This window comes from Homo sapiens, chromosome 8 (assembly GCF_000001405.40).
Source record: "Homo sapiens chromosome 8, GRCh38.p14 Primary Assembly".
Classification (NCBI taxonomy): Eukaryota; Metazoa; Chordata; class Mammalia; order Primates; family Hominidae; genus Homo; species Homo sapiens.
The window spans coordinates 2,202,048-2,212,738 of record NC_000008.11 but is presented as its reverse complement, the minus strand read 5'-3'; the positions used below and the strand labels follow the sequence as shown (position 1 = coordinate 2,212,738).

At 45.4% G+C, this 10,691-nt stretch overlaps 1 long non-coding RNA gene across 1 annotated transcript; it reads right to left on the bottom strand.

The window, feature by feature from the left end:
* Positions 1-6,556: 6,556 nt before the first annotated feature.
* LOC105377782 (uncharacterized) lies at positions 6,557-9,400 on the bottom strand. The gene is made up of 3 exons (XR_941357.3): positions 9,189-9,400; positions 8,385-8,531; positions 6,557-7,136 (listed from the first exon to the last, which is right to left on the bottom strand). It is a non-coding gene; the product is annotated as an uncharacterized LOC105377782 (long non-coding RNA).
* Positions 9,401-10,691: the final 1,291 nt, after the last annotated feature.

Here is a 10,691-nt window from a genome sequence, read left to right as displayed (position 1 = left end):
ACACACCTGCTAGAGTGATCAAAATCCAGACACTGACAACACCACCAAATGCTGGCAAGGATCTGGAGCAACAGGAACTCTCATCATCACCAGTGGGACTTCGGTTATTAATCAAGCATTGATCCATTTACTGGGACAAATGTATTATATTAGTGTAAGGTGGCAAAGACAGGGGCCCTGGGGAGGCAATATATGAGAAACTTCTGCATTATCAGTGTGATTTTACTATCAGTGTAAAACTACTCTAAAATACAATATTTATTAGAAAATGAATTGGGAACTATCCTAGAACTCTCTTTCCAAGTAAGACTTGCAAAATTACCATCAACTCTGCAGCTGAAACAACAGGAGTTTATTGATTCACAGTTCTGGACGCTGGAAGTCCAAGATCAAAGTGCCTGCAGGAACGGCTTCCTCGGAAATGTTGGGGAGGAAGCTGATCCAGGCTGTCTCTGAGCTGCTGCTGGCTCCTTGACTCGCAGCCCCAGAATGCCAGTCTTCACATTTCTTCACCTGTGGATATGTCTGTCTCCAGATTTCCCCTTTGTGTAAGGTCACCAGTCATATTAGATTAGGGCTCACCTTACCCTAGAATGACTTCACCTTAATTAATTCCATCTGCAAAGACCCAATTTCCAAATAAGGTTATGTTCTGAGGTACCCAGGGTTATAACTTCAATGTACAAATTTTGGTGGGGGGTAGAGGAGACACAAGTCAGTCCATACCAAGTGGTATTTTATATTTTATACCTCTCTGTAATTAAGCTTGATGAATTATTGTGGAAATGAGGGACAATGCTGAGTTAAAGATCGTCGAGGCTTATAAGTAGGTCAGCCTCTCTCTCTGTCTCGCTCTCTCTCTGGGTGCTTCTCTCCTCTCTTTTGCCATAAAGAGATGTTCCTGAGGGTATGCGCACACACATATAGCTAGAAGAGCCTGCCATACTCATGAGTGATTTTACAAAGCTGAGCAGGATTTGCGATTTATAAAAGCTATAAAACCAAATTTGCTTCTCTTTGAGATCTGCCTTTGTACTCATTGGCACCCAAGAGTTACAAAGTTTTTCTTGGTCTTTTGGAGCGCTCTGGATGTGTAGAATAAATCCTGTGAGGCACCCTTGTGTAGCTTTCCAGGTTGTGTAGAAGGTGCCTGGTCCACAGGTGCCCCTAGGACATGGAGCACTTGAAGCAGCGAGAGCCAGTGGGCCCTACCCCAGGCAGGGCAGGCAGCACTGCTGTGAACACCCAGCACGCAAGGCTGTTCTTGGAGGCAGGGCAGGCAGCACTGCTGTGAACACCCAGCACGCAAGGCTGTTCTTGGAGGCAGGGCAGGCAGCACTGCTGTGAACACCCAGCAAGCAAGGCTGTTCTTGGAGGCAGGGCAGGCAGCACTGCTGTGAACACCCAGCACGCAAGGCTGTTCTTGGACCCACGATCCTTGCAGGGCGCAGTTGTCTGTGGAAGGTGAACGGAAGGCGAAGGAGCACAGATGTCACAGAAGACGGTGGGCATCAACGTGTGCCATGAAGCGAGAGTCTAGGGTCAGCCCCAGCCTTGCTCTCCGTGGGCTGTGCGCCAAGTGACCCTAGAGCACCTCTCAGCCTCCCTCTATTCTGGGAAATGGAAATCCCCATAGTTAGCTCCCGGCAACCCCACATGTTGGACCTCAGCAGTGTCCAAGAGTGTTAGCCAAAACCAAATTTAGCTTGGGCAGTTCTCACAAGTCTCTCCCAATGAAGGTGGGTCTGTTTTCTCTTCTGTAAATTATTATTGAACTAAATGGATTCTAATGTCCTTTGCAGCTGGGAAGATGCTATGGCTCTGCAAATACTATTTCAGATGTTCTTGGGGTAACGTTACTATTATTCTCATATTGCATGTGGAATAAACTTTGAATACACTTCCAACCCAGCTGTTTTGTTTCAAAAACAATGTCCAGTGTTAAAGGACTTAGTGTGGAAGCTGTGATTGATTGTATCTATAGCATATTTTTATGACAAAACTGAGAGCATAAAAATCAATTTTCCTGTAAGATGTATTTTCTTTACTTTATGCTTGGTATGTGTGATTAATGAAAATTTCCTTAGCAGATTTCTGTCTTCAGGTGACACATTAAAATATTTAAATGCATCAAACTCAATACCCATATGCTCTATTTATGACCAAGTAATAGAATTATTAACACCTGCCTTCATGTGTTATTTGCAATATATTTATTTTAAATTATCCAAAAGAAATTCTGGGGGTTAAGGCATTTCTTATTTGCATTCTATAAGATGAAACTCAATAATTCACTTTCAAATGTTTCATGAAGTCATTAGACCAGAATGGCATGTCTCTTGGGCCTAGTTATAAATATTTTCAGCATCTTCAATTTCAAACCAAAATATCAGGCCTAAGCAGGGACAGAAGTCGTTCTCCAGTCACTTACCTGGGGCATTCAGGTCAGGACAGAGCTGAGGACTTAGGAATCCAGAGAAAGCCTTCCTTGTGGCTGCCTTCCAAGCTAGGGTTGCTTTGCTATCTTGGGGCCACCAGGCTATGAGTTGCCTCTAATATTCATGGAGGATCCTCCTGCAGCTGAACCAAACTCCATCTTTTCTAATTGGTTTACATTAAAATTAAGAGACCTCTCAATGAATAAATGGAACATTAAAGATGATATGACCTAATAGTAATCATAACTCTTTTATTTCAGTTTATATGCTTTTCTCTAGTAGATTTTTGAAAAATCTCCGAAAGTATTATTTTTCTAGAATACAACTCAAGGCCTTAATGGCATAGGCAGAAGATTTTGTGTTATAAAAACCTGGGATTTCACCTGGAAAATTATTTTTTGGTTAAAAAAAAACAGAGATGAAGAACTTTGTTTTCATCTAGGCACTATTTGATAGGATTTTTCCACAGAGGAATTAAAATGAGAAGTTGAATAAAGGCAGCGGCTCCCACTGAAACACCGCCTCCCTCTTTGCTGTGATCCAGGGGGCTCTGCTCCTCGGCCAGTGTGGCCGTCCTACTCGCCCCTCTGTCCTCAGCACCTGCAGGAAGTCCCACAGGTCCTGATTGGCATGCTGGCCTGGTGGGGAATGCTTAGCACATCCCAAGGATAAGTGAGTTTGGTTGGTTCCCGTGGGATCTGGCTGTTGAGGAGTCTGGGACCTCCCCCGGCTGTTGAGGAGTCTGGGGCCTCCCCCGGCTGTTGAGGAGTCTGGGGCCTCCCCCGGCTGTTGAGGAGTCTGGGACCTCCCCCGGCTGTTGAGGAGTCTGGGGCCTCCCCCGGCTGTTGAGGAGTCTGGGACCTCCCCCGGCTGTTGAGGATTCTGGGGCCTCCCCCGGCTGTTGAGGAGTCTGGGGCCTCCCCCGGCTGTTGAGGAGTCTGGGACCTCCCCCGGCTGTTAAAGAGTCTGGGACCTCCCCCGGCTGTTGAGGAGTCTGGGGCCTCCCCCGGCTGTTGAGGAGTCTGGGGCCTCCCCCAGGTGTGTCCCACAAGCCAACGCCAACATTAGCAGAACGTGGAATTATTAAATGACTTTGGAAGCTAAGAGAATCTCCAGGAGGCTTGGAAAATGGATTCGAAGGCTGCCCAGCCAAGAAAAACATGGAACACCACACCACAAAATGGTCCCAGGGACACTGGCCTCCACCAGGCTTCCATCAAACACCAGCTGCTCAAACCACCGGGCCTGCTGCCTTTGGAAAACGACATGCCACCCCTTCTCCAGCCTCCCCAGCCGGAGCGAATTCCATGATGTCCTTGCTTCTCTCTGCCACTGGCACCTGTGCCCAAGCCCAGAATGGGTGCTTCAGATGCACCCAGCTGAGAAGAGGCTTAGAACGAGGGCTTCCGTCCACTCCAGTGAGCAGAGTATTCTCCCACCACCATGCATGAGGCAGAGAATCTCCCAAATGGGAAGCAAGAGTTAGAAGCAGGACAAGAGCAGAAGAAAACTCTTCCTCAAGAAACAGAGACGTGTCCACGTCTCCTAAATACCAAGGATTTGTTCTGAGGACAAAGCAGAAATAAGAAGATAGAAATTTTGGTTGCAGAAGAAATCCTCCAAATTGACAACTAAACAAAGTATGCATATTCCCAGGCAGCCGGAACGCACAGACTCGAAAGCATTTCTCGCGGACGGTGATGGACGGAGGACATGGTGCACTTGAGCCCATGGCACTCATTCCTTCTGTCACTGTGGCACGAGGGGCTGCCACTCAGCTGCAGGGCCTGGGGAAGGCCATCTCCTGGGTCACCAGCCAACCAGACCAGTGGCTGAATACTCACCCCAGACCAGTCAGGACTGTCCAGTTTAGCTCACTCCTTAGGATTTGTGGATTGCAAAGACACTCAGATTCCAGTGGGAACAAGACTGCAAAGGAAATAGATTGCAGCAGACAGAGCCTGAGGACATCTAATGTACAAATGCTCCTTGAGAAACCAGAACTTGGAGCAGGCCTTCTGATATGATTTGGCTGCATCCCCACCCAAATCTCATCTTGAATTCCCAGGTGTTGTGAGAGGAACCCTGTGGGAGGTAATTGAATCATGGGGGCAGGTCTTTCCCGTGCTATTCTCCTGATAGTGAATAAGTCTCATGAGATCTGATGGTTTTATAAAGAGAAGTTCCCCTGCACAAGCTCTCATTCTCTTTGCCTGCTGCCATCATGTAAGACGTGACTTGCTCCTCCTTGCCCTCTACCATGGCTGTGAAGCCTCAACCACCTGGAACTCTAAATGCATTAAACATTAAACCGCTTCCTTTGGTAAATCACCCAATCTCAGGTATATCTTTATCCGCAGCATGAAAAGGGACAAATACACCATCCCTAAAGGAACCAGGTGAACTGTGTGCCCACAGGACTCTCCCCACCTGCTCTATGGCTCTCCATTTTAGCAGCTCCTGTTCTCTGTCTCCACCCCAAGCCTGGAACTTGATATCCTGTCTTCCCATCTGCTCCTGTTCAACTTCAGTTCTGTCCTGGATGCCTTCCTCTCTGTATGAGTCCAGGTTCTCTAGAGGAACAGGACTAATAGGATAGATGTATACATGACGGGGAGTTTATTAAGGAGAACTGACTCACACGATCACGAGGTGAAGTCCCACAATAGACCATCTGCACGCTGAGGAGCAGGGAAGCCAGTCGGAGCCCCAAAACCTCAACAGTAGGGAAGCCAACAGTGCAGCCTTCAGTCTGTGGCCAAAGGCCTGAGAGTCCCTGACAAACCAGCGGTATAAGTCCAAGAGTCCAAAAGCTGAAGAACTTGCAGTCCCATGTTCGAGGGCAGGAAGCATCCAGCACAGGAGAAAGACGGAGGCTGGAAGACACAGCCAGTCTGCTCTTTCCAACTTCTGTCTGCTTTATCCTAGTCACGCTGGCAGCTGATTAGATGGTGCCCGCCCAGACTGAGGGTCGGTCTGCTTCTCCCAGTCCACTGACTCAAATGTTAATCTCCTTAGGCCACACCCTCACAGACACACCTAGGAACAGTACTGCATCCTTCGATCCAAACAAGTTGACATTCAATATTAATCATCACACTCTTCCTCTTCAATAATCCAATTTTCATCTTTTTCTTTAAACCTGTGTTTTGGTTTTTAAACTCTGCTTCAGATGTTGGCTTAGACTCCCAATGAAAAGCTCAGAACACCCAAAATATTATCTTTCCTAAGCAAATTGCTAAATGAGTTTTCTGTGTAAGATTATCTTGAAAGAAAAGAAAGAAACCTTTTGTGGGAGAGGAGTGATTTGAAGAGAGGCATTTAGTTTTAGAATTGGCTAATACCTGTGCTCTTTCAGCAAAGAATAGGAATAACTCAGACAGATATAATTATCTGGAGTTGGAATGCTTCGTTCCTGAGTTTCCTTTACAGCAATCTCAAGAAACATCACACTAACAAATGATGATGTTCAGAGAAAACACCACAAAACTGATCAAAATAAACAAAATAAACCCTTCACATAGAGAGGCTTTTGTTGAAAGTCTTTAAATCTATGTTCATTCTATTGTCAGAACAGAAAAGATGGGATGAAAATTCAAAAAAGATTCTCTTGACCTTTGCCATGTTTACATAAGCATGACAAAATAATTATTTTGGCTTCTGTACATTTTTGATAATTTAAACATAATTTATCTACTTTAGAAGCAAGCTTTTTAAAATTACAGTTTTCCTGGTGCACATGCCTAGGAGTAAAGATATTGTTTTTGTTATTTTTCTTTATAGCTTGAAGAGAGAATTGATTTACATTTTTCACATTGTGAATGAAGTTTAGTATACTTAACCTGTGCCTAAAAGTCTTACTGAGCCAGGCGCGGTAGCTCACGCTTGTACTCCCAGCACTTTGGGAGGCCGAGGCGGGAGGATCACTTGAGGTCAGCAGTTCAAGACCAGCCTGGCCAACATGGTGAAACCCTTTATCTACTAAAAATATGAAAATTAGCCGGGCATGATGGCAGGTGCCTGTAGTCCCAGCTAGTCGGGTGGCTGAGGCAGGGGAATCGCTTGAAACTGGGAGGCAGTTGCAGTGAGCTGAGATTGGACCACTGCACTCTAGCCTAGGCGATGGAGTGAGATTCTGACTCAAAAAAAAAAAGTCTTATTGATGATGTTTTGTTAATTCCATCCATATCCTGAATTAGCTCTTTCTCTCTGACAGGATTTCAACATTTCCCCCACTTGTTGTTTTCCATGATGGGCATTTCCATGGAGAATTCTTATCTTAGGTATTTGTCAATATCATTATTTAGGTTAATTTATAATCTATTAATATAATCTATTAATTTGTAGCTTCAGGATTTTGTGTTGCAGTTAGAAAGACTTTCACACTACAACCCTCTAAATGACTTTTCCTCTGGCTTCTTCTAGCCCTTTAATGTTTTTACTTATTTTACATCAAAACCATTAGCCCATCGGTAACATATCTAGAGCTGGTCTCAAGATGTGACTTCACCTTTTCTGCAGATGGTTATGAAGTTCTCCTGCAAACCTCCACTTGTCATGATGAAACACCAGGGACCGCACCTCAAACCCTGCCGTAATCAACAGGAAACCTGGGTAGAACGGCGATAAATCCGCAGCTTTGCCTTGCTGTTACGCAGAAGCGATGACACAACCTAGATCACCGTTGCAAGGGCTTCTCTGATAAATCACAGTTCATGAAAACATGGAACATGATGTCGCCATTAATACAAGAACTAGAAACCATTTATGGATTAAAGTAGAAATATCCTTAAAATAAAGTGCTATGGTTTTTTGGCTTTGTTTGTTTTTAGATGAAGTCTCTCTGTGTCTGTTGCCCAAGCTGGAGTGCAGTGGCACGATCTTGGCTCACTGCAACCTTCACCTCCTGACTTCAAGTGATTCTCCTGCCTCAGCCTCCAGAGTAGCTGGGATTACAGGCATGTGCCACCATGCCCGGATAATTTTTGTATTTATTAGAGACAGGGTTTCACCACATTGCCCAGGCTGGTCTTGAACTCCTGACCTTGTGATCTGCCTGACTTGGCCTCCCAAAGTGCTGGGATTACAGGCGTGAGCCACCACGCCCAGCCAAGTGCTACGTTTTAAAAGCATGGTGCAGAATAGTGTGTGTATCACTGTAAAATCTTGATTAAAACAGGAAAACATTTATACATGTATATACAGAAAAATAGATAGTAGAGGAGATAGAGTAGATAGATGATAGATGATAGATAAATAGCTAGATAGTTAGATAGATAGATAGATAGATAGATAGATAGATAGATAGATAGTCTTAAATCAGACAGCCTGGGTTCAAACCCCAATTCTTTCTCTTACTAGTTGTGTGGCCTTGAGCATGGTTCATAAACTCCTGTGATTCAATTTCTTATCTTTAAAATGAAGAGTTACAAGCCCCAAGTCCGTTATTTACAGCTCTGAGAACTAAACGTGGCTTTTTTGAGCATTCAGTGACAAAATCATGCCTTTATGGACATAAAACTACCTTCTTCATTTATCTTACTGACTAGGAATTCTCATTCAGTTTCCTGCAAAAATATTAATGTCTTTAATTATGAGTGCTACCCCAGAAGTTGTTGGGGTGTTGTATATGGCCCATTCATCAAAGGAAGTTCTGAATTCTAAAATATATCTGGCCCCTAAGTTCATACAAAGGATGAGGACCTAATGTAGTTATTATGAGAATTAAAAAAGGTTAGACTTTAAATTGCTTTGCACTGTGCATGGCACATCATAAGTGTCCTGCGACGATTTGTTAAATGAATTGTGCACACACACACCTGCATGAATAGATTAAAAATGTCTTTCAAAGGCTACATTTATTCTCTCTGGAAATGAAGAACAGGAAGAGTGTTTACTATTTATTGTATTATATTATTGGTTTTTGAATTGCATGAGAGTATTTACCTTTTAAACAGCAAATTTAAATCACCTTTGCCAAAAACTGGGCTGACGAATATATGAATAGCTGGTACAATTTTGAGAGTAGGAAAAGTTCAAAGCTTTTAACCTTTGGGTTTGATTGTAGGCAGAAGTTAAGAGTAGGCGTAGGACCTGTCAAAGATGAAAGTTGCAGGCGTTGGATTCTGTCTCACCTAGGATGAGCACATGACCCCTAGCATTCTAAGAATCTGTAAGGAGCCCAGTTTTGGCTAACTGACCGGGTACACGGCCCAAATCACGGGAATAGAATGCCTCTCGGAGCCACTCCTGTCTCTGCCACGACCAGGAAACTGGAGAAGGTGCAGTCAGTGTGAAACTGTGGGGTGGCCCCACCGTGCCTGGCTGCAGAGCCACCCCGGGCCCAAGTCTCCTTCTCACAGGGCACGGTGCAGACACCAGCCCTGCAGTGGCGCCTCCCCTGCCACCTAAAGAGCCAACGTGGCCTCTGAGCCTCCTTGTTTCTATGGCACAGAAAGCCAGGCTGCAGCAGGTCTGTGTGACTAGGGGCAAGCCGTGCACCCCGGCCACAGCCCCCTCTCCTTGGAGTGCTCAGCATCATGCACATCCTCTGTTTAACCCCCACAAAACTAAGAAGGGAGAGTCCACCCGCCCCAGCGTAGCACACCTGTCCCTACACAAACAAATCTCCCTCCCTCCTGACCAGCTCCTCAGCCACTGCCGTCTTCTCTGAGCCATTCACTCCCTGTCCAGGTGGTCACAAGGCCACCTGGACAGCACATCACCTGCGGGAGGAATTTAAAAACTCACCCTCAACAGCACATCCAAATGCGCAATAGGAAGTGAGGGATCATGGACCACAGCCCAGGTCCTGGCAGGAAACAGGTGCCCTCGGAAAAGGGGCTCAGGCAGGTGTGAGGATGGGCTCTGGGAAAAGCCACGGCGGGGGGAGGGGTCAAGGGCATCCACTGAGTGGCAGAGCAGAGCCCCGCATTAGGAACCATGACTACCTGGGCAAGAGTGGCAAGGGAGACACAGACCGCACGAAAGGCTCCTGAGCAAAGCCACGCCCGTGCACGGGAAGTGCAGCACCACCAACCTGCAGCCGGAGCCAAAGATCTGGGCATCCACGTCTGATCCTTTGCCCTCCCTCCCTCTCGGGTCCTGCCAGAGCCTTCGGGTGGCAGAACCTGATAAGGACCAGACCACCGAGGGGACCCCTCCGATGCTGCACCAGGAGACCAGCCCTGCAGGGCACAGAGCTCAGCAGGAAGAGGGAAGCCCAGACCTGGCAGGAGAAGAGAGGATTTGGACACAGATGAGTGGCAAGTGCACACACACATCACAGAAGAAAACACGCGTTTGCTACAGTCAGTTTCTGCTGCAAGTTCCCAGCTTAGAGCTGGTTTTTGACTTCTTACTCTTTTACCAGCTATGCCTCCTTTATCGTAATCCAGCGGCTTGGCTGGCAATTGTTACCTGCTAAGTGGGACTAAACCTCTCCTCTTGAGCCCTGGGAGGTGCTGCCTGAATGGAGTTGTTCATTGCTTTCCAATCTGGAGTTGACAATGCTGCCAAGTATTCCAGAAAATCATCTGGGATGACAAATGCTTCTTCCTGCCTGCAGTGTGGTGGAACGATCTCATTTTCAGCACCCCATTAATCAACTGACCCCCAGAACCCCGCAACCAGTGGGATTGTGTAAATTTCCCACACAGCACAGAACACATTGTAGAGCTGAGATCCAATCACACACAGGAAGATAGAAATGGCACATCTGGGAGCCCTTGCTACATTGTTCGACTTTCCAACAACCAGCTTTTGATATTAATACCTACAAAATAGTGGAACTGATAAATTATTAGCATTGAATTACTGTACAATATTATCCTTCTTTTCTTGACAGCAGCAAAGTTGGTCAAAAAGAGAATATTGGGCATGTGATCAGTCAATATGGTTACTGTTAGAATGCTTCCAATTAATAAAACATAATTCTCTACACCCACTGGCTCTGCACTCCTTTGAATAGTTTATTTCAGAACCAACAGAGGGGATGGTGTGAGTGAATATAAAATAATTAGGTTTAGAGTAATGTAACAAATCATTATTTAAATGTTCTGAGATTTGTAGTCTAAAGTAACTAACAGTCAACAGAAAGACAACATCCAAAATTGTATAGACTGGTACTATGCCATTCACAAGGGGGAAATGATAGCCACTGTGTTCATGTAATTTGTTTCATTTTTTTTGAATTGTAGTAAGTCAAGAAATGTACATCATCTAGATATCAGTTTAATGACACAAATTTCAGCT